Genomic DNA, 25280 nt, shown 5'->3' with positions numbered 1-25280 from the left:
TATCCCTGATCATGCTCACAATTAGGCGTAATTCTTTTTTACATGACCATTTTTAAGTTTTCAAAAACAATTGTCAAGCCTGTTGTAGTCTTATCTTTCCAAAGCTAACCATCATTCTTCCGGACTTTTTTGTGGATGTTTTTTAATGTCTTCATTGCTCTCCTTGCAATCGGTCCTGCTTGTCTGTATCCTTCCTAATCTGTCTCCAAGAATTAAACACAATATTTCAAGTTTCATCACTGCCATGAAAACCAGGATCACCACCTTTTTTATTCTAAATACTATGTTTTCTTCTAATACAACTTAATATTAGATTCCTCATCAGGTTGGTTTATATTGATGCCCAAGTCTTTTTCACAAATGCACTGTTAAATCATGTCTTTCTTTTATATCCTTTTAACTTTTATGTAAATCAGGATCTTCTTTTAATCCTCCTTAAAGTACAACTTCTTAGACTTAACTTGCATGTGGGAATATTATGGGTTCTAGTTATGTCAACCTACTAAGTCTGCTTTAAACTTCAGTTTATTTACAACAATGTTGGCCTCATGGACTATTTACAGGTTTTATTTATGCATGCATCTAATTTAACAAAGTCAAGAGAGAGTTGTAATGCTTACTGCTAGAAACCACCTTCTGGGAGGTACAAAAACATCTCAGAGTTCTTATTATATACCTTCATAAAACTCATACAATCTTCTCATCTCAGGCCAGGGAAAAGGAAATAAGATTATCATGACTTAATTTGGTCTTAGTGATCTGCACTAGTACCTGCTAACCACCTTTTTCTTTCGTAAGAGCTGACAAATCATCCTGTTAATGTCCACTCTAGAAATTTACTAGAAGTAAACAGAAAGCAAGATGATGGATTGCAGAATCTATCTCACGTTCCTTTCATACATTTTGTGACACATTTATGCATTCTCAAACCTTCTAGCCTGTCTTCACACATCCTGAGAGCTCTTGACTGCAGTTAGGTGAGTTGGCTCAGCACACCTCAGTGTAATCTAATGGCTTGAAGTTCAAGTCCTCAGGACTGCTAGTACTGTCTTAAAACTGGGGATTTTATTTCCCCCTTTTCAAGGTTCACTTTACCCTTTGTATGCACAGGTCATTGACTTTGAGAGGACAGAAACAACATGAGAGATTAACTCTGATATCCATCAATGTTTCTCAACTCTAATCTGCATGTTTATTCCTTCCTTGCTCCTTTTATTTCTCCAAACATAGATTGAAACCATCAATACAAATAAGAGATGTACTCAAATAACTCATGTTAGACAGTGTGTGATAGGTGTAGTAGGAGGACTAGAACGGCTTAGAAGACAGAGACATTACCTTCATCACAGGACCTCAGCAAGTGTGCTCTTTGAACTGGTCTTTGAAAAATGAAGGATTTTGATTGGAAGCATTGAGAGGAACTCTAAGTGCAAAAAGTGGCAGGGGCTAAAACATAAATGGGAGGTATGTCGACATTTAAGAAATGGAGCAGAACTTATTAGGTTTACCTAGCAGATAAGAGCCTGATTAAAAGGGGCCTTTGTACGTTCCTCCTCATTTGGATCATTTGATGAACTTGAGGGAGATTTTGAAGCTTTTCAGCTAAAGCTGTGATATAAGTAAATGTGTAAGCTTAATCTAAAAAAGACAAGAATTGCAGTTAGGAAACCACTAGGGGATTTTATACTAACCCATGCCACTCAAACTAAGATGGCCATAAATGGAAGGTATGGAAACAGTCCATAAAGTAAAGGTGGGGAGAAGAATGAAGATGGTTTTCGTATTGGTCAAATATTTAAAATATATTTATAATGTGTTTGCTCTGCCTAGAAAATTACCTCACCTATCCATACTCACCCCTCCAAAAAATATTAATACCCATCTTCACTCTTTCCACTCTATTTCATGAGGCACCTAATAAAAACCTCCAAGATGTTTTTGTACACCCTAGAGGGTGGTCTTTGGCAGTGAGCATCAGCTCTCTCTTGACTTTGTTAAATTAGACACATGGATAATCTCTAAATTATTTTGGGTGGTTTCATACACAGCTTTAAATAACATTGGATCATATTGTGTGGAAGATTTTGTTTCAGTTATCTTTCAAACTTCAGATTACACTGAGGATAAAGTCTCAATTTAACATTAGTTTGTCCATAACGCTTGCCTAATATTTGCAATTCTTCCCCTTCACACAAAGACCGAGTGGGCTTGGGCTTAGAAACTTTGGTAGACAACAACATTGAACTAAAACTGAATGGCAACATTTATTTAATTTTGTCCTTGTATTATACCATTACTTTCAGTTATTCTGTTTTTTACAAGTGATACTGTTGTCCTGTTTACGTCAAAGAATACAGTTTTAGTTTAAAATGAAATTTTATGGAAAAAAGGTAGTCATTGATTAAAAGGATTTTGTTAAGTATATACTAACAGGTAATACTATGATTTGGCAAAAATCAAGATGGTGGGACATGAATAACTGACATTCAGTTAACACTGCTCTAGTATAAAATCCAATTAGAATTACAAAAACTGTACATATTTTGAAGATGGCTTTTCTCCTCTTCTGAATTCACCAATGATTGAAATCATGTCCTTACATTGCTGAGAGGTGGTTTGATGGCCCATGGAGAATAGAAAGTTGTTTGCCATTATCCATGTATATGGGATAACAGTGGTAATCTGCTGTACTTGAAGCATAAAATCACCATTTTGACTCCTAGAGATTTGTAGGGTTTTTGTGGCAGCTGTACTACTCTGATGGAAGTACAAATTCTATCTATCTCATGACAAAAAGGTTTTTTTCCAAAGAGAACATGAGGTCTCATTTCTCAGTTAACTTTCAAATTGCCTCTAATATATCTAATGACCTCTTTTCTAAAATTAGTTTCATGAAGGGGTTGATTGATTTTAGGCTCTTTATAGATTTAATTTAATGTTCATTCTCCATTGTATTATTGCCCAGCATGAGTCAAGACAATCATACTTATGATTAGAGAAATAAAGCAAGGCCTTTGGGGGCCAAGTATAGAACTACCTTATCCCTGAGCTGGGAGGCTGAGCCACACGTGGACTGAATTGCTGATGGACAAACTCTAATGGCTTTTTTAATGCAAAAAATGCATTCTGGAAGCAGGAAGCTGCTGGGAGAGCCTGCTCTGAAATTGCATCAGCACACTCTTCACATCCTTGGTTCTGTCTTAGGAAAACAAATGCTCTCTGAATTATTAAGCCGACATGTGGCTTCATGCCTAGAGCACAGGTGCTTGAGTCAGAAGGATGTCAATTCAAACACAGCTCCCCCATTTCTTAAGGCTAGCTCTGTGGCTCTGGGAAGTTATTTAACCTCTCTGAGCTTCCAGTTTCTCAACTTCAAAATAAGGATGCACTAGTTTCCTAGGGCCACCATAACAAATGAGCATAACTTAAGTGGCTTATGACAACAATAGATATTTATTCTTACAGGCCAGAAGTCCAAAATCAAGTCAGCAGGGCCACACTCCCTCTAAAAGTTCTAGGGGCAAATCCTGCCTTGCCTCCTCCAGTTTCTGGTGGCTCCAAGAATGCCTTGGCCTGTGGCCACACAACTCCAGTCTCTGCCTTCGTCTTCATATGTCTTTCCCACCTTTTCTTCCTTTTCTCTCTGTGTCTTTTCCTCTGCTATCTCATAAGAACACTTTTCATTGGATTTACGGCCAGCTTAAATAATCCAAGAGGATTTCATCTTGAAAGGCTTAACTCATCTGCAAAGAGCCTTTTTCCAAATAAGGTCACATTCATGAGTTCCAGTGATTGGGATATGGGCATATCTTTGGGGGAGCCACTTTGCAACCCACTGCAAGGAATGATCATGATACTTACATCACAGACAAAACGAAACGAGAAAATGCTGAGCACATACGACACAGTCAAGAAATGTTATCATCATTTTATGATAACTATCTCCTTAGTTTGTCATTATCATGTTTATTAACATTTTGATAGACCTAACTACATTTAACATAACAGTGAGCTCTATTATGATTGGACCTGTAGAGCAGATGTAAAACTCCAATTGCCACTGAACAAGTCACACAGAGAAAAGATGGCCTCTTTCCCCAAAGCAGCTTGGGAGTCACTGGCCTTATTTTATCAGTGTAAATGCACATTATGGACTTTAAAGAGACAATATTTCTTGTGGTTTAAGAGATAGGATGGCCATTAGGGATCAGGGATGCTAATGAAACATCAACAATGTTACCTTGTAAAATTTTGAACAAATACTACTATTAGATAAAACTTTTAATTTGAAACTAAAAGAAGTGAAGCGTATGTCTGTGTTTTAGATTTGCCTTTTTTGAACAAAAGGTTCATTCAGTCAAACATGAAGTCAACACACTCAGGAAAGTGTCAGGATTTCCAGATTGTGGGTCTTTCTTCTGATTCGAGTTGCATCAGCCACGGTTCTAAGGAGAATTCTACTCCCAAGATCAGCATTCTAGTGGAATCATAAAAGGTCCCACACCACCATCAGTGAACTTAGGATCTCCATGGGGATGTTTACCCAAAACTCAAACTGAAAAATGTAACCTTCCAGCCAGGCACGGTGGCTTACACCTGTAATCCCAGCACTTTGAGAAGCCGAGGCAGATGCATACTTGAGTCCAGGAGTTCAAGACCAGCCTGGGCAACATGGTGAAATCCTGCCTCTACTAAAAATACAAACATTAGCCAGGTGTGGTGGTACACACATAGTCCCAGCTACTCGGGAGGCTGAGGTGGGAGCATCACTTGAGCTCAGGAAGTCGAAGCTGCAGTGAGCTGAGATCATGCCACTGCACTCCAGCCTGGTGATAAAGTGAGACCCTGTCTCTAAAATAGAATAAAATAAAAATAAAAATGTAACCTTCAAATTCCTTCCCATTCTCAAATAGAGATGGAATTTGTCACTCTCAGAATTTACCCTGGTCATTTCTCGGTTCTTGCTGTCTGCCCCAAGACAGACCACACTGATGTGGTTCATACCAGTTCTGCAGTGTTGAGCGACCAACAACATTCTGTGGGTGACGAGATGCCACCTGCTGGCTTTTTTCTTTCTGCATATGTGGATGTTTACACCTGCCCGATCATGCAAGACAGACCACACTGATGTGGTTCATACCAATTCTGCAGTGTTGAGCATCCAACAACATTCCAGACTGTTTCTGGAAGCTGTGGGTGACGAGATGCCAGCTGCTGGCTTTTTTCTTTCTGCATATGTGGATGTTTACACCTGCCTGCCCATGCAACTAGCTCCTCGTGGCATGGCGTGGCCATTGTCTCACTATGATGAGGAGTCACTGAGACATTTTCTGTCTCCAAATATTCTCATCAGTTAACAGTTAAAGAGAGCTGAAGAGCTGACTAAATCTCAACTACTGAGGCCAAAGAAATGTATGACTTATCTATCAATAAAGGACCCTAAGAGGTGGAATCAGGCTTACATCTATGTAAACTCACTGAGAAAGCCGTGTTGTCATTGCTGTTCTTGGTCTGTGCCTGCTTTTATTCAGCATGCCACTTGGTAATGGAAACTTGAAGAAATGATACTACAAATAAGTGATATTGAGGATGACAGTCTGTTCATTTTTAAAGGGCAAAATGGCAAAAAGGATGCATTTGTCCTTTCAGACCTCTTCTCACAATGGACAGCAGGGGGCAGTGCTAATATAGGGAGAGTTTAGCATCAGGTAAACAAGTGGTATCGGCCTTCAAAAGTCAGATGCCTTCGTGAGCCACATAGCCTTTCACATTTGAAATACTCTAACTCACTTTTCCTCCCAAGTGTCATTTATTCATCCTTCACGGCCCAGGTCAAATAGCTTAGACTCTGAGAAGCCATATGGAATCCCCCTGACTGAATTACGCTCCCTCTCTCTTGGCTATGGGTTGCTTATGTGTGTCGCCTTACCATCTCCCCCCAGATTCACATGTTGAAATCCTAACTCCTTAGACGGTGGTATTAGGAGGTGGGGCCTTATGGAAGATGGTTAGGTCATGAGGGCAGAGCCCTCAGGAGTGGGATTAGTGCCCTTACGAAACAGGCTCAAGGGAGCTCATTTGCTCCTCCTACCATGTGAGGACAAACCAAGGAGATGCCATCTGTGAACCAGGAGGCAGGCCCTCACAGACACCACACCTGCCGACGCCTCGATCATGGACTTCCTGCCTCCAGAACTGTGTGAAATTAATTTTTGTTGTTTATAAACCACCCAGGTTATGGTATTTATTATAGCAGCCTGCATGGACTAAGACACTGCCCTTCCACAGTATTGCAAATAAAACTCTATTATAGAAAGTCTGTTGTATACTGGCCAGGCACAGTGGCTCATACCTGTAATCCCAGCACTTTGGGAGGCTGAGGCGGGTGGATCACAAGGTCAGGAGATCAAGACCATCCTGGCTAACATGGTAAAACCCCATCTCTACTAAATACACAAAAATTAGCCAGGCATGGTGGCGGGCACCTGTAGTCCCAGCTACTTGGGAGGCTGAGGCAGGAGAATGGCGTAAACCCGGGAGGCGGAGCTTGCAGTGAGCTGAGATCAAGCCACTGCACTCCAGCCTGGGTGGCAGAGCGAGACTCCGTCTCAAAAAAAAAAAAAAAAAAGGTCTGTTGTATATTGTTGTGTAGCTCTTTTCATTCATGACTTACCAAAGTCCCGAGCACCTACCTGCTAGTTCATCTATGTACTTACTGATAAATGCATATACCCTGAATGTGGCCAGACTACTGCTACTATTTCTACTATTAGTAGCTAACCAGTCACTTTAAAGTACTGATAAAATATCACTGCCCATAATAATGTTTGGCATCCCACTGTTGACACAAAACAGCACTAAGCCACTTCATAGTTTAACTCCAATTAACACATCATTAGCCAGATTAACACAATAGCTTCTAGTGATTAATTTTTTTTCTTTTTGAGATGGAGTCTCACTCTTGCCTAGGCTACAGTGCAGTGGCACGATCTCGGCTCACTGCAACCTCTGCGTCCTCAGTTCAAGCGATCCTCCTGCCTCAGCCTCCCGAGTAGCTGGGATTACAGGCGTAAGCCACCATGCTCAGCTAATTTTTGTATTTTTAGTACAGACGAGGTTTCACCAGGCCAGACTGGTCTCGAACTCCTGACTCCAAGTGATTCTCCTGTCTCAGGCTCCCAAAGTGCTGGGATTACAGGCATGAGCCACCCGGCCTGATTTTCTTTCTAGTAGTAGCCTATGACCTGTTTCGGGCAACCTTTCTCTGAGGGAAAGACACAGAAGCATGGCTGGCTCGTAGAGTCACTACTGTCAATCCCTTTTTCCCGCCCTACTGTTGGCGTAGACACCTTGGAGACATTGTGAACGTGTTGAAATTCTCCAGGCCTTCTCACAGGATTGGCACCAATTGCTTTCAATGAATTACGAACAGGAAATGCTCAAAACAATACAATTGTTTCTTCCTTTGCTAGAGAACTCAACTTTCACTCTTCCGCATGTGGAAAGCACAATTCCACGAATGACTGTAATAAATAGAATATGTGTTTATAGATACTAGGAGATCCCCAGCGGTTCTTTCCTTCTAGTTTTAGAATCTGGCCACATAGATCATTATAAACTGCAGCAATAAGACTGAAGTCAGTTTTCCATCATGTGTAAAACCAGTAATTGCATGTGTGTGTGTGTGTGTGTCTGTGTGTGTGTGTGTGTGTCTGTGTGTGTGTGTGACTTGAGTGATCCCAATGCTGCTTTATAAATGATAGAACATAGCCTTTGTGGCTTCGGAAGACTCATCATGAATCTTCCCTGGGCCAGCTATATTTTTGCATAGAAAGTGTATGAAATTGAAATTCACATCTCTTCCCTTTGGATATACTGTAATTTTCAAACTGAAGGTCATTTGCCAATTCAGCAGTTCCTGCTTCAGTGCCTTGTGACATCAGGCAGGATGCTGTCTGAAGAATGATCAGAGAGATCCTGTTGCACCACACATAATAAAGCTTTCAATCCATAGCTGAGCTTTTCCAAGCTCTTGGCATGCAATAAAATACATATTTACTGTTGCATACTGTCAGACTGCAACTCTCAGGTTGGAGACCTTGGAACCGCCGCTTCTTTGGGCTTAATTTTTCTTATCTGCAATTATGGGCATTCAACCAGACAACACTCATTTTAGACTAAAGAATCTACCAAAAAAAAAAAAAACACCATTATAGTGTTTATGGATATTTTCCCAAGAGGGAATCATATTATTTTTGAGATTTGCACCAAAATATAAGCTCCCAGAGGATAGGACTCTTTGTGTCTCTGTATTCACTGTTTTATCCCAAGGGCCTGGGATATTGTCTAGCACAGACTAGCAGTCAGTAAATTTTCATTAAATAGAGAAAATAAGGAAAGAGGGGAGAGAGGGAGGGAGGCAGGAAGGGAGGGAGGCAGGAAGGGAGGGAGGCAGGAAGGGAGGGAGGGAAGAAAGCTAGCATATTAATATCTTATTAAGTTGAGCTTCACTCGCTGGAATAACAGTGCTGAAGCAACTCTGAAGAAGATGTTTGCAAAAAGTTTAAACTATGAATGAGGTAGGGCATGATGGCCAAGTCAGGAGGATCTTTAAAGCCAGGAATGCAGCGTGGGCAACATAGCGAGACCCTTATTGAAAAAAAAAAAGAGAGAGAGACAGAGAAAGAGAGAGAGAAAGACAAAGAAAAACAATACTATAAATGATATCTTTTAGACAAAGTCTTACTCTGTCACCCAGGCTGAAGTGCAGTGGTGCCATCTCAGCTCACTGCAACCTCTGCCCCCTAGGTTCAAGAGATTCTCCTGCCTCAGCCTCCTGAGTAGCTGGGACTACAGGTGTATACCATCACACCCAGCTAACTTTTGTATTTTTAGTAGAGCCGAGGTTTCACCATATTGGCCAGGCTGGTCTCAAACTCCTGACCTCAAGTGATCCACCTGCTTGGGCCTCTCAAAGTGCTGGGATTACAGATGTGAGCCACCACACCCGGCTATAAATGAAATTTTAAGAGCAACACTTTCATAAGAGAAAACACTTCTAAGAATTTCAGCCATCCTTTTCCCATATAAAAATCACATGCAGAGAGCTGACTTGTGACTCTTTGATGGAGGCAGTTGGGTATAGTAAATGCTTGTTGTCAATCCCCCTGGGTTAAGAGTGAATGGGAAAAGAAGAAGGGAAGAAAGGGGGTGCTTAGATTATGTTTTCCAGGTGTTTGCCAGTGAGGGAAGGTGAAAGAATGCTTTAGCCAAAGAAATCTTAGGGTTGAAGAAAGTTGTATATGTGTGTGTTGTGGGGGAGTTATTTTATATATAGCAGAAGCTTTTATGCTGCTAAAGGGAAGGAACCAGGAGAGGGGAGAGGAATGATTGATGGAGCAAGACCCTGGAAGAGATGAGAGTACAGAGATTGTTTCCAGAGAAGGGAAACCTTCCCTTGCATCTGACACCAAGGAGAATGTAAGGGGGATGTAAGCAAATATTTAAAAAGAGCAAGAAGAATACAAATAATACCAAGGTGTTGAGCCAAGAAAACCCCGATGCTCCTGAATCATTTTGGTAATGTTCGTTTGCTCCTTGTTCATTTTTATGCAGCTGCTAATCCTGACTCACAGAGAAGCAGCAACAGAGGCAAAATATTAAGAAAATGTATTAAAAACTTACATTTGGCATATTTCTAATAGAGAATCCAAAATAGATTGCCACTTTCCAATTCATATTTATCTCACTCTTAGAATCCCAGGGCACCATGAGATTGAAAGTAATGAGAACTATAACCAGGAGGGTAGCACTAGAAATCGAAATACGGGCATGTGTTCCTGAGTCACTGAGAGCTCTGAGGGTACAGAACATCACAGCTTTTGGAACCTACATGAGGGAAAACAGACAAGAGCCAGCTGGAGCGACACATCTTTGTTTGCCAGAATGTTGTTTATATCTCCATGCCTACACGCCCACACCCTGCTTGGTCTTCTGGTAGCCCCCTGGGCTCTTTAAGGCTCTCTTCGAGCCACCAGTCTTCCCTCTGCGAGTCTGCCTTCAGGTCTAAAATCTTCTCTGTGGCTTTGAACCATATTGCGTGTTTGGTAGCGGCTCTCTTTCTGAATTCTATCCTGGTGCTTTCAAGCCTGTTAGTACATAGCCCTGGACTTCAATTTTGTGCTCACCATTCCTGCCTCACACACTGGGTGCTGCATGTACTCCTACATGGGCTGCTGTCTAACTCCTCTCCTCCCGCCCTCCATCAGCAGGTACATTTGAGCCGAGCTTGTTGCAGGTTGCACACGGATGGCAGTGAAGAGGAGGGCAGCAAAGATCACCCCAGTGTCTCAGGGAAAATGGTGCTGCTGTTAAAAAGAATAGGACAGCCGGGCGCGGTGGCTCTCGCCTGTAATCCCAGCACTTTGAGAGGCTGAGGTGGGCGGATCACCTGTGGTCAAGAGTTCGAGACCAGCCTGGCTAACATGGTGAAACCCCATCTCTACTAAAAATACAAAAATCAGCCGGGCATGGTGGCAGGCACCTGTAAGTCCAGCTACTCGGGAGGCTGAGGCAGGAGAATCACATGAACCCGGGAGGCAGAGGATGCAGTGAGCAAAGATTATGCCATTGCACTCCAGCCTGAGCAACAGAGTGAGACTCCGAAAGAAAGGAAGAAGGAAGGAAGGAAGGAAGGAAGGGAGGGAGGGAAGGGAGGGAGGGAGGGACAAACCCCAACCCCAAAGGCAGTGTTGAATTTGGTGGGAAGCAGATTATGAAGACAGAAACATGGAAATAAGCATATGGGGGTTACAGTAGATTTTGAAGTTAGAGGTGAGAATTTGGAGATGCCAAATGTAGGGCAAACAAAGATCTTGTGAAGTTACATGAATACTGAGGTAGAACTGTCTTGTCCTTTCCTTCTCCTGCCTCTAATCAGAAGTCAGTGTGGCTAGTGGAGCTTCTGATCCAATTGCTATTCCTCACTCCAGCTTCTCTGCAAGGCAGCAGCCAGACTCTAATCCTCTAATCTGGTCTGCCTGCTGCACCCCTATACATGCTAGATATTTGTCTCAATACCACCCCTGATGTCTGGGGCCTGCATCTCCTTTCACCCTGAAATTTAATCTGCCAACCTGCCTGCAGAGTCAAGTTCGAAAGCTGCTCAGTGCTTCTTCACTATGGGACCTCTTCACTATTAAGCCCTGGTCATATTGCTGATGCTTATTGACATTATTATGCCAAACACCTGGCTAAGTGATTTCACATGGATTTTCTTATTTGATTTTCGCAGTAGCCATAAGGGTTAGAAACCATTAACAAGGTAGCCGTGCATTCCATTCTGTCTGTGAATAGTCCCTATGTTTGCATAATTATTAATAGCACCCTCTCACTTTCAAAGGGTTCTAGTTTGGATGGTCAATTATATGGGCATCCTAACTGTCATTACACTTACTCTCCTTAGTTTACAGATGAAATGCAGAGAAGTTAAGTCTCTTCTCCATTGTTACACAGCTGATAAATGGCTGAGCCAGGACTTGAACACAAGTGGTCTAACCCATTGTGATTGAATTCATGTCTACAAGTCCCCTTGAAGTTTGGATGGATACCTGGCCTTTTAGGATTTGTTTCTTCTACTAATTCAGTTGTCATATTTTGTGTCATACCAGGCAGCTTATCCTCTTGCACCCCCAGCCGACTCCTAGTGATCACCAGGCCCCACTGTGCCTGATTAGAAACAGCAGATATAGGGTGACCTTTTATCACACAGTGTGATGAAGAGGAGAGAAACGAAGTACTTGCTTGAGTGGGTAGGAGACTTGAATGAGACTTTTATTGCATAAGCAATGGTTAGGCCAAGTAATGGCCTAGCCATTTATTTTGGATAACTTACTAGTTGACTCAAATTACCCCATAGTCAGTTCCAAGGAAGTTAATAACATCTATCATGTAACTAGCTAAAATGCTAAGAACAAAAATTCCATGTAGAAGTTTACCTAAAAAACCTGGGCTTTTGCAAAAATTGGAGTTTGGATATCCATAGTATCATTTTTACATTAAAACAAGTTCTTGGCCAAGAGTGTGAGCAATACACATTAAAAATTCTTCAAGCTGATATAATACCTTTTTCTCAAAGAAAACCAAAAAGTTAAAAATGCAGCTATCACTTTCCACATCCTGAAAACAAGGGAATGTACCGAGATTTGCACAATTAACCATGCTTTTTTAAAAGCATTCTCTCCAGCAATTGATGACTTACATTCTTGGCTCATTTGGACTGGGTGGCTCTCCATGGTTCTGTCTTGTGAGGAGGGAGTGGAAGCAAGTCCCTGTGGACACCTATGCTACGCAACATCCTTTCAATGCTAGAATAGTAAAAGTTACATTAAAATATCCAAATTTTTCAAGACCCAGAAACAACTACAAGAGGCCCTCCTGTGTATTATTGGCGTGAGATAGATAATAGGTGTTCAATAAGTGCTTGTTGAATTATATGTGTTGACATTAGATGATTTACTAAAGATGCTTCTTATACATATAATTTGTGTGTGGCAGTGGGTGTCTACAGTGAGACTGTCTTCAAGGCGGACTCCAACAACCTCTACCTCTTGATACTCATGCCCTGTGTAGTTCCTTCCCGCTCTGAATGGGACTAAACTATAGACCAACAGGATATTGCAGAAATAATAGTGTGTAACTTAGACTGGTCATAAACTTCAAACTCCAGTAACTTAGATTGTTCAGTGTGGCTTCCTCCTTATCGTCTTGGATTTCTGGCTCTAGAAGAAGCCAGCTGCCATGTCATGAGGACACCCAAGCAACCCTGTGGAGAAACCCACCTGCTGAGGAAGTCAGGTTTGTCACCTTCCCCTCCTGACTTGCCAGCCGTGTGTGTGAACCGTGGGAGGGCACCTGCAGCCTTCAGATGACCATGGGCCCAGTCAACATCTTGTGTGCAACCTCAGGAAACACTTGAGCCAGAACTACACATCTATGCCACTCCTGAATTCCTGACGCACAGAAACTGTGAGATAACAAAAGTTTATTTTTGTTTAAAGCCATTAAGTTTTGGAATACCGTGTTCTTCAACAATAGATAACAAACACAGATTTATTTTATGCATTGTGTGTGTAAGTGTGTGTGTGTAAAAATTTGCTTTGAACTAGAAAAAGAGCTACATAAAGTGAGTAGAAGAATAACATATTATATACCCTGAAACAGACCAGTCAGAGGAAGATCTTGTCTGTCGACACTGGATGTGTACCAGTGACCTCTTTCCAAGGAGCTCCCAACATATGTTAGCAATGATGATTAAGTGTCAGACCATACTAAGATAGAAGCTGCTAGAAAGAAGCAATCTTTGTTGTGACAATGTTTTAGTGAGTACTGCATCTCACATATTCAATGCCTGTGAGAGAAAGCAGAAGTAGAGACTTTCTGGTGGACAGTGTCTCCCACTTTTTGGAGAGGGTAATAGTAGCTGCCACTTGTTGACCTTGTAGTACTACTTCCTGGCACCATGCTAAACCTTTTATACATATTATCTCACTTAATTCTCACAGCAGTCTTCTGAGGGAAGTGTGAAGGTTGAGAGGAGTTAAGTAACTTGCTGAAGATTACCAAGCTAGTAAGAGACAGAACTGACTTTCAAATCCAGGCTGACTTTTTCTAGAATCTTCCTTAACCAGTACATATACTACCTCTGATGTCATATTAAACTTGATTTTGAAGCTTTATATCACCATTAGCTTCTATAGAGGTGGCCACAGCATAAGTTGATAGGCTACTCTTTTAAAAAATCTTATATATTAAATGAATTACAAAGCGATATAATATGTCACCATTTTTATTCATAGACATGTAGTGATAGGCTGTGTTTTAGAACCCAAAGCATGTTCATGGGATATGCCCTCTCTTCATCTCTATATTGGGTGGGGACAAGACCTTTATCAAGACTGCCTAAGATAATTTGTATTCCCTTCAGAAATGTAATAGGATCCTATCCTAACCACACATATTCTTAAAGACCCAAGAGTACATGCAGCTGACCAGGTTTAAGGGTTTTTCAAGGTAGAAACACTACCAGCATGGAGGCTTGGCTCCTACCCCCACATAACCCAGCAATCCTGGAGCCAATCTCCATTTGAACTGCAGCTTTGCCCTCTGTCAGCTTGGCCACATTGGGTAGGGGACAGAGTGGGCTTGGGGATGGAGGGAGGGGGATGCCTTCTACAGTCAGAATTCAGTTACGCTTGAAAATAAAACAGGATAACAATACTTTGCCTAAAAGATGAACATGAATATCCTGCATCCTGTCTTGCATTCTTCTCATCTGAAATGCTGGGAGCCCAGTGATTTCTCCCACTTTAGGAGGTTCTCTGTTCTCCCATGACTGCTAATGCCACCCTGCAATGGAAGGCACAGTTGACTCACTTCGTGAGCTGCTGTGGACTGTGGATGCTCCCAAGTTGAGCCCATAACCAGTAGAGCTTCTCTTTTCACTGGGTTTTCCCAATATATCAGGTGCTGTGTCAAGTGCTCCATTTGGATTATCTCATTTACTCCTCCTTATCCTATAAGAATCTGATACAGTACATGACTACCATTCCCATTTCTCCACTGCAGAAACAAAGAACAGAAGATCATTTGCCAAAAAGCCACAAATCCAGGAAATGGTAAATTCAGGTCTGTTGGACAGCAAAAAAAAAAAAAAAACTTCCAAAGAAAGACCATCTGAGTCTTCTTAGTATTCCTTCCATCAACCTGCACCACAGGGCAATGCCATCTACATATTAGAGCTAACTGGGGTGACTGTTCTGGGCTTGGTAGGACCTCCTTCCACTGCCTGATTTTCAGTTCTTTCCTCTTACACCTCATTTTTCAGTGCTCCTACCTCTTTTGTGACACTGTTGGTGATGTTTACTACAACCTTCAAAAGAAATATTTATAGGGGAATGTGGTATATCCCAGCAACAACTCCTATCTTCACCTCTACCTTAAAGTCCAGCCACTGGTCATTGGTGTTCTATCTGAATCTTTTTGTTAGATAAAGCTATAGAATCCTAGACCTAGAAGAACTCATGGCATCTATTCTAACCCTCTAATTTTATGGACAAGCAAACTTAGATCCAGAGAAAGAGATGACAAGACTTGTCTGCAGTCCTAATTAGTGTTAGAGCCCAAAGCCAATTCCCTGCTTTCCCCACCTCTTCACACAAGAAGGAAGGCTGCACATGTCCTCTTGGGAACTGCAGTTGTCAGTAGCACAAACTGGAGATAATAGGAACAAAAACTTTAAGAATCCACATCTTGCATTTGAGGTTGTAAAGAGAGGCTAAACATTATCTTATCAAGTTAATCTTCTGAATATTGCCACTTCTCCTATTCCTGCTGGACTTAAACTTTGGTTGTCCCTGTTTCCTTTCAAAACCCTGGAGCTGGGTGCTTTGCACCAACCCTAAAATGATACTTTGGGCGACTCCCCTGAGTCCTGGCAAATAATGTAAAATTGAGCTCAGGCTATCTTTTTATCTTTAAAATTGATTTGGAAAGAACATTGTAAATGACTTTAAAGACTGCCATTTTCATGTTTGGAAAGCAATTCGTGATTATTGTAAACTAGATTTAACTTGGAATGTTTAAGACGTGGGTGGTTAATTCCTGCCACAATTCAAAGGGAGAAAAATGAACACAGAAAATAAAATAGAACAAGTACAGAGAGTACAGTTAATAGTTCATTTATCCCGTGTCATCCAAAAATATTTTTCACATAGCTAACTCTTGAAGACAACATAATTTGCCCAATTTGATCACTTAACTTTTAAAAATTAAAAGCAGTTGCTGTTGGAGGTTTTATCTAGAATGTGTCACAGATTTCTCTCTCCTGAACCCAAGGCCACTTGGACATAATTTGGTTTTTCTTGATGCATTAGCGTCCTTGTTGTGAATATATTCCAGTAACAACTCCTCCTGTATTCACCCCCACCATAAAGTCCAAACATCAGTGATTGATGCATCAGTCATTTCCCTAATGCATCAGTTTCACCCATTGTACTGGGGTAGAACACTGTAATTTATATCCACCTTTCTAGTGTTTACCGCCCCGAACGGGGATTAGTCCCAGATACTGTGTATATTGATTTTTTTTATGTTTTCCATTTTCTCAGATTGTCTGTCATCTGTCCCTTCCTTTGGTGGGTGGCCCATACCTTTAAGTTAGCCTGACTCAGCCATGCACCCTGGACTCATGGGCTGGTGAAGAGAAGTCAAGGAAACTTTCTGTCCCACCTCTCCCTTGTCCTTGCCACTTCATTCCAGTGCCAAGGCTCTCTCTTCTGTTTGAGTTACTGTTTCCGCATGACTTTATTGTTTTTGAGCCTTGACTTGCAGGACTGTTATCTACCCACTTTGGTACTAACTTGGAATAACAATGATAATAACACAAATAGTTGTAATAATGATAATGGTGAAAGAATGATACCACCTACTATTTATGCCAGTGTTTTGTACTATGTGCCTTTGTTACAACAGTTATGTAGAAGGGTTCTTCTTACTCTTATTAGCCAATGGAGAAAATAAGTCTCAGAGAATTAATGTTCCAAGACAACAAAACTAGGATTCAAACACAGGTGGGTCTCTTCAATTCCAAAACTCATGCTCATTGCTCTGAATCACTTTCTAGGCTGCGTTATTTCACCCTCATTCCTTCCCTATGTATGCAGCCTCAGCTCCATCAGATGGCTGAGTCTTTGGTGGGCTGGCTTTATAGCTGGACCCACCACAACCCCTTGAAGAAGCTTTCAGCCCACCTGCCTTCACCGGGGACATCCTTCCAGTAGAAATTGGCTGGACCAGGGCAGGTCAGAATGATATTGCTTCTGGTCAAAAGTCACTGTGAGCTTAGTTCAGCAAGCTCTTTAGAATCCTGCATAAGGTAACGGTGTTAACCATGAGGATATAAAGACCTCTTCACTAAGCCACTCCCATTAGCTTCATAGAGGGAATCACGTGACATCCTTTTCTGGTTCTGGAGAAGTTGTTTCTGTCCCTTTTCAGGAATTGACTGTGATCAGAATAGTTGATGTTGCAAAAGTAGTGACCTTAGGGTAAGTGAGGTATTATTATATTATTTCAAATTTGTTTACTCATGAAAAACAACAGGGAAGGGGATTTAGAACTTGTGTCACATTACCATGGGAGCTAACTTCAAAGCACAGAGGAGACATATGCAACACCCATTCCCCCATCACTCAGGGAAGACTATGTGTCTCCGGGAAAAGAAGAGTAAGGAGATTTAAAAACAACAACAACAACAACAACTACAACAAAAACTACTTACTGGGGAAGTGGGGAGAAAACAAGCAGTGTTTAAAAGTCCTTAGATTTTCTCTTTTCCAGTAATAATTAGAATTTGTTGAATTCTTACCATGTGTTTGGTACTGGACCCAGCACTTTACGTGAATATTAGATGCTCATTAATATTCATTCATTGAACAGATGAGGAAACTGAGGCTTAAAATTTTTGCTGAAAGTCACAAAGTTAATAAACAGCTCAACAGGGATTTACATTTTGGCAAACTGCTTCCTGATGCCTAAGTGCCGCACTATACTACACTTTATTAAAAATAAGAAAGGTTTAGTATGAGCTGAGAAGAGTTCAATCAAACATAGATGCCTGAGAAAGGTAAGTTATTAATGGAACATTTAAATTATCCGTGCACTCTGCAGGAAGCTGACTTAGAGAGCAATGAAAGATAATTTTCCGATGCATCCAAATGTACCAACGAAAGAATTATCTGCTTTTGAGCTGCATCAATGCCAAAGGTAGAAAAATGAAAATAAAGGAAAGCTTGGCAGCAGCACCTGATTTTTAAAGCAAAAGAACAGTGTGCTTTTTTCCAAAGTGATTAATTGTACAACTCAATAAATGTCAGCACACGGGAAAGATGCCTGCAAAGAGGAGGCCACTATAATTAAGTGAAAATGAAGACAGAGAAACCGAAGGAAAAGGTCTCTAGAAATCACAGTTGTCGGGGGATAAAAAGAGATCAGGGGTTACTATCACAATAAACTTAAGTCCCAAGTCCCTGAGTAGAGGTAGCAGTAGGAGGGGCAGAGATGCAACTTGATAAAGGGTAACTAACTGGGTCCTAGGAAGAATGACTTCACTGGGTTGTGTTTTCCACTTTTCAGCTGAGAAGGCACTGATTAACTCCCTCCTAGCCATTTAATTGAGTTCAGACCTGGCGGGGGGCTTACCCATCTGGAAACAGACACGGAAGAAGATTCTCACTAATCTTGCCCTGGAAAATGACCAAATCCCATGACCTGGTTTTACTGACTGGGGGCAAAATCCCCTGCCACTTTCAATCTAAGGTGTTCTCCTCCTTTGGGTCACTTTTGTTTAGGAACAATTGCTGAGCCTCTGGAAAATTTACAAAAAAAGTCCAACATGATTAAGAGCTTGATGATGAAGATGATAATGATGACAATGATGCTGTGATTTTTATTATCTGTTGATTCATTCATTCCACTAATCATTTCTGAGCTGTCATGGAAAGGCAGTGCTACAGCTTAAATCAGCAGATGGAGGTTTCCTACCCTATGCCTTGGTCCCCATGTTTCTTCCCATCACATGACTCCACAGAGAATACTTGTGGTAGAGAAGGAAGATGAAACAAAGATTGCGAGGCAGTTGAGCTCCCACCAACTTGATGGTCACCCCTAGGTCCTCACACTAGCCCAGGAAGGAAAGTGGCTGGTTCCCTCTGCAGCAGCGACATGTTTGAGCTGTCAGCCAACTCTCCAGGATCAGCCTCCAATGAATTCAAGAGTGAGTGGCAGCTCTTCCAGCGTGGGCAACCAAGTCCACACTCACAGAGTGTCCTGGGGTAATGGCCTCATTTTCCTCTTTCTAATTGGACCCAAAGTAGCCTCTTTTCTGGGGGCATTTTGGTGTTCACCAACATTTTATGTCATGTAGGGGGAAGCAAGTAATGATAAAGGGAGCCCATTACGTTTCTGTATTCTAAATATATGCTTTGACAGCCAATTTAGGCAGTTAAGTCACTGCTGCCAGTGAACACTTCACACAGTAAACACAGCACCTTAAAAAAATTCGTTTATCAAATTCATTAAAGACTGGTTTCAATTCCTACCAAAATGCAATTTAAATCATCACCTTAAAACAATCTGCTCAATTGTTAGCTGGTTTCTGAAACTGTCATCCAAGAAAAAGTCACAGACTTTCCTGTGAGGGACAGACCAGCTCTCAAAGGGAATTTTCCAGGGTTGCCTCACTACCGCCTGCCACATGCCAGTTCTAATTCTGATTCTGCCACTTACTAGCTGTGATTCTCTGAGGGAATCACTTAATTTCTCTGTGCCTCAGTTTCCTCAACAGTAAAACAGGGATGATCACAGCACTGCCTCATAGAGGGAGGTGTACATGTATCCCGATGCATAAATATTCATTAGCACTGTGCCTGGCACATGGCGAGTGCTATAAGGGCTTGCTTTCTTAGGGGTATCATCATCATGATTATTATTCATTGAGCATGTACTCCAAGGTGGGTGCTGGATATATAGCAAACAAGGTAAGCACAATCCTGTGTCTTACAGAGAGGGAAGACAATTTAAAATCTAAATCAATCAGGATGTAATTACAGGGGTGTGTTAGAAAGGAAACCTACAGGGTACCGTGATAAGGACTGAGGTTCAGGGCTGTGAAGCAATGCCCGTTAGGGGAGGCTTTTCCAGGGCAGTATCACCTTTAAGCTGATCCTGGAAGCTGAGAGGGAAGAGACCAAGCCTCTGTTATCACCCTAGCAGAGGCAGCATCACGCTTGTTCACTGAATAATTATGGGCCAGGCTCTATGTTGGTCTTTGCAGTTAATCTCTTCCCACCAATATCCTGAAAGTGTAAAGGATGATCTCCATTTTACCGCAGATACTATTGAGGCTTAGAGAGGTTAGGTGACTCGTATGAGTCAGGCTGACTCTGAAGCTCGCTGTGAGCTTTTCTACTGTGCTCTGCTGGCCACCTCTTCCACCAGGCTGTCATTTGGACAAGCATCAAATTAGACTTGAACCAGGATGCTCAGTCCATATTGACTGTAGGTTCTGTCAGTCTCACTGTAAATTAACCCAAACTAAGAGAGGTCTACTTAGTTTGGGGAGCTAGAATACTCTGCCTTCTGGCCCTGGGATCAGGGAGAGAAGGAACATTTGAATCCTCTCCTTCACTTGGTCAGACTGACCTGTGGACAAGCTGTTAGGTTGACTGGTGCACCAACTGCAGTCTTCATTTCCAGATATGTAAGCCAGTCTGGCAGGCCAACTAGATATACACCCCATCCCCACTGGCCAAAGCCAAAATAGTGAGGGGTTCCACTGAGGTGCTGACACCTATGCTAGGTATTCTGGAAGTATTTGCCCTTCTTGGGGTATTTGGTGACAGGTGCTCTAGTGTTTTATCTGTGCTGAGAACAGGGTCCAAGGGCAGTTATCCAGTTACTTTCTCACATTCAGCCCCTACTTTCTAGAGCTTGGAGCCCCTTTTGGGCCCTGTTGTGAGCAATGGCTGCCATCTGCTGTATCCTCTTGCTGTGCCTGTAAATTGTTCCTAAATACTTCATTTTTAGTTATTAATCAATGTGATCAAATTCACTTTTCATTCTTCAGAGATGCTCAAAAATTCTCTTTGCTGAAAAAGTTTCCCACCTTTTCTCATTTTGTTGTAATCAATATATTGCCTTTATACTGCTTTGTTGTCATTTCACTTGGATTTGGGGAAAGAGATAGCTAAAAAAATGTACTCCACGCACCACCTTGAGCTAGAAGTCAGGGCCTCCAGACTCCAAATGCGGAAACCATGTTCTGCTGGCCAGAGGGCAGGCAGGTGCAGCAAAAAGATACTTCAAAGGTGACTCCTGAACATTTGTGTTTTGGAAGCAGGGAGGAAGGCGGGGGTTAATTCAACCTGGGGGAATTAAGAGCCTTTCTCCGAGGAGGTGATGATTCCCTTGAGGCTTCACTGTTAGAATATGGTTTTCCCAGGCAAGGTCCTTGTATTGGCCTGCTAGGGTACTAGGGCTGCTCTAGCAAAACACCACAGACTAGGTGGTTTAAACAATAGAAACTCATCTTCTCACAGCTTTAGAGGCTGGAAGTTGAAGATCAAGGTGCTCTTAGGGTTGTTTTCTGGTGAAGACTCTCTTCCTATCTTGCAAATAGCACCTTCTCACTGTGGCTTCATATGGCCTTTCCCTTGTGCACACATGAAGACAGAGAGAGAGAGAGAGAGAGCTGGTGTTTATTCCTCTTCTTATAAGGACATTAGTTCTAGAGGATGAAGGCCCCACCCTTATGACCTCATGAAACCTTATTACTTTCTTAGAAGCTCTATCTCAAAACAGAGTCACATTGGCGCTCAGGGTTCCAACATATGAATTTTGGGGGGACATAATTCTACCCTTAAACTCTTAGCCTTTCCATAAATTTATCTTTATAAATAAGTTCTGATCATGACCTTATTAGGATCCTGAAATGGACCCACCAGAAACTCACAGTGTGTGAAGCAATGAAACCAAGCTGCATAGCATCAGGGATATCCAAAAAGCCCTTGAGGCTGATTTTGTTAGGCTTCATTTCTCAATTTTTTATTTCTCAAATATTTTATCTAAGCTCATCTTTGTTTTTACAAGACAAGCATCTGTTAGCAGCAGTAGTTTTCCGTGTACTTGATGCCTTATAGAGGATAGCAGAAAACCTCTCCCCATCCAAGGTCAGCATTATGTGTCAGAAGACTCAGATGCACCAGGTCTTTTGGGGAGGAGAAGAATGTGGGCTTCACCTCCATCATGCCAAAGCACAGTCCAATTTGACACGGTCAAAACAGACGTAGGTATTTTGCAATAGATTAGATATATAGATTTAGACACACGGCTCTTACATAATTTAACAAAGCTGGGAAGGTCCAACACTTTCAATGGACATTATTTATTTAAATTAAATGTGTATTTCCTTGCCCATTGTAAAAAGGTCTTTGGACATATTATCCCAGTGGTGGATATATCAACATGTACAGCCAAATCATTCTTAGGCCAAAAGATTTTAGAAAAGTGCTCTGAAAACTAAATTCATTAGTCAAGATTTGTTGAAGAAGGATGGGCAGTCTACAGCTGGGTAGGTGGACCCCTGAGGCAGAGTCCAGTATCCTCCTAGGATTCAGTACGATTTTGGTGGTTTTTGTTAGTCCCTTCATTCGTTTTTCTCTTTTTTTTTTTCCTCCTTAACCTCCTTTTACTCTCTTGAAATGCCTTACTTTTTCTTCCTACATGTCTTTCTCCCTGGTCAATAAGATGTTAAAAACATCTCCCTCCATCCTTCCTTCCATTTCCTATGAGCATTAAGGCTACTACAGTCTACACAACACGGCTATCTCTGCTTTGAAACAAGAACATTTTTTATTGTACACAAATTTAAGATTTCATAAGTGCTGAATAAATTTTTATATATGAAATAACATACAATAATATGATATAATATAATATATAATTAATGACCCAGGATGAAATCTAGCTTCCAACACTTCTTTGGAAAATTTAGCCTTACGAATTGTTAGTGACATTATTTCCTAATCTAAGACAATTACTTTAAAAATCTTGTTTCTAGCATTTTAGGTTTAATAAATACCTTATTGAATCATAAGATAAGACCCTACTAGGGGAAGAAGGCAGACAAGAGAGTGAACAAGAATCTCCAAAGGTCATTTATTAGTAAGGCCGTGCACATTTGATGTTTGGAGGCCAAATTAATGATTCATCTTATTAATAGTTCAAATAAAAATAGCAGACACCTGCTGAAGAGTTTATACCTAATCTTAAAATATTTCCTGCTTATCAAAAATTAGCCAGGTGTGGTGGTGCACACCTATAGTCCTAGCCACTCAGGAGGCTGAGGCACGAGAATCACTTGAACCTGGGAGGCCGAGGTTGCAGTGAGCCAAGATCCTGCCACTGTACTCCAGCCTGGGCGATAGAGCGAAACTCAACCTCAAAAAAAAAAAAAAAAAAAGTTTCCTGTGTGTCATATGACAGAAACATGGCCTCTGGGTAGGTTTCTGTGTCTCCCACAACCCAACCCAATCTCTAGCTTAATTTGCTATGTAAAACATAGAGCTCAGAACCCAAACCCTTTCTTGCAACTTTCCTACATGTTTGGAATCTTTCATGAGAAAATGTTGGAGAACATACTCAACTCTTCTTTCCTGCGTTTCATCTTTTTTATTTCTTGTCCACTGGATAATGGTTGTGTGTATTGAATTCCAAAGAAACTAATCCTTGGACATTCCTTTAGCTTGATAACAGAGGCTAACAGAGAGAGGAGACAGAATGAGAGAGAGAATATTCAGAGCCTGTCAGCAGCCCGTCAATAATAGGGGTGAATTCCTCAGAGGCAGAGGGGATCGATAAAGGCGGGACTGTAATAGCTAGAAAGCATCTCATTTGTCTCCCTAAAGACTTTGGCATCTGCCAAAACATCTGATTCCAAAAGCCACCGCAGAGGTCAGCCAGATTTAGAGAGAGATGGTTAGAGAGGAGTTTAGGATGTGAAGTGCATCGTGCCTGCCAAGCCCATGGTGGATAGCGGAGGGATCTGTCTTCTCTCTCCAGTTTCTAACTGGGGCTGGTTTACTATTTAAGCGTTTCCAGCTAGCAGCTTGCTGCCTGCAAACTACGCAGCCATGAGCAGATGATCACAACCTACGGAAGTGATTGGAGAGAGATATGTCCTGGGGGATGGGAGTAAGTGGGTGGGGGTGGGCACTGCCATACAGGGAGCCCAGAGGAACTGTCCTATTTGAAAAGACACATTCACAAACAGAGGAGCCCACTCTGCCCTTTGTCTCAAGTGGACACCATTAGATATAGATATTCAATACACACAAGCCAGACAGGCTAAGTCGTAGCCTCTCTTCAGTAAATGCCCTAGTTGTTTAGAGTAAAAATGGTTTAGATTAGCACCCGGGCAGTCTGACAAATGTCCAGAGGGAGTTAGGGGACTTGCCAGCATCATTAGCATTTTTTTTCTTCTTTTTCCAGCAGCACTAAAATATGTTTGCTCAAAACAGAGGGAGATGAAAAACTACTGGCAGCCAGTACTTCTTAAAAGAAAAAGAAGCATGTTTTACTTCTCTGGGGTGAACATACCAATTAAAACGATGCTGTGTTGTGACAGATTACTGAGCAATTAATGCCTGTTTGAGCATCATGCTAGATGCTTCCGCGAAAGCAACCTCACTGAGGCTGGGGCGGCCACACGTTACAGCAAAACAATCCTTCCTCAAACTTCCTGCAGCACCCTTCACGCCGAGGAGCCCAGAAACCACAGAAAACATTTTTTTTTCTTTGAATCTCCAAGAGTTACACTGGAAGAATTAGCTTGGCAGAAAGATCTCAAGATTGAATTCTATTGGGGATTTCATACTTTCCTCATTTGTAAGCAAAATCTATTTTCCATGAGATATTTTTAGCGCAAGCAGCTCCAGCTGCCCTATTCCCTTTCACTATACCATTAGATGTTGAGGCCATTCCAGAAAGGACACGTGATTTCTAAGCATCTCTCTTTGGTTCTTTCCTAAGTGACTAGTCTCGCAGGAGTCAGGGAATACCAGACTCTTAACTACCAAAGACCTCAAAGTCCTTCCCAGAGCCTTGAATTCTTATTGATAGGATGTTAAAATGCTTTACAGCTGCTTTTTCTAAGAGGTCAGCTTGGCGGAGCTTGCTCAGTGACCTCAGTAATAGAGATATTTTCAGCCCTGCAAGCCGCGTATGTAAATATAAAATTGTATTAGGCTGCAGAACTGCATGTGTGGGAACAGAACAACCATACTATTGAGAGGAAATCACAGGGGAACACTGGTGTCTCTCACTCAGGGCTGGTTAATGCGTGCATACTTTGGTTAAATCATCTTGATCTAGTGAACTCTATGTTTCAGATAAGCCAGTTTCATTTCTGGAACTTATGAGCTATGAAAAGTAAAACCTCAATCACTTAGTGAGATGTCCAGCAAAATTTCCTTCAGGAAGTGTTTACGTTTATAAAAAAAAAAATCATTTTCACTCCTTACATGATACCTCAGGAAAAATTGTGAGTGTAAAGTCAGGTTTTCAGTTGTGTGATTTGAAAAAGTAATTTATTTGTGTGTCTGAATGGGAAAGACATATTTATTCAGACCTCTGAAAGGAGAATCGAAGAGCTTCATTGTAATGAA

At 41.6% G+C, this 25280-nt stretch overlaps 1 protein-coding gene across 6 annotated transcripts in view; it reads left to right on the top strand.

Annotated features, from left to right (window-relative positions):
* Positions 1–25280, top strand: part of DOCK10 (dedicator of cytokinesis 10) — a 277379-nt gene that overhangs the window by 34551 nt on the left and 217548 nt on the right. The gene's annotated exons all lie outside the window — the stretch shown is intronic.

This window comes from Homo sapiens, chromosome 2 (genome assembly GCF_000001405.40).
Source record: "Homo sapiens chromosome 2, GRCh38.p14 Primary Assembly".
In the NCBI taxonomy this organism is placed as follows: Eukaryota; Metazoa; Chordata; class Mammalia; order Primates; family Hominidae; genus Homo; species Homo sapiens.
This window is presented reverse-complemented; position numbering and strand designations above follow the sequence as displayed.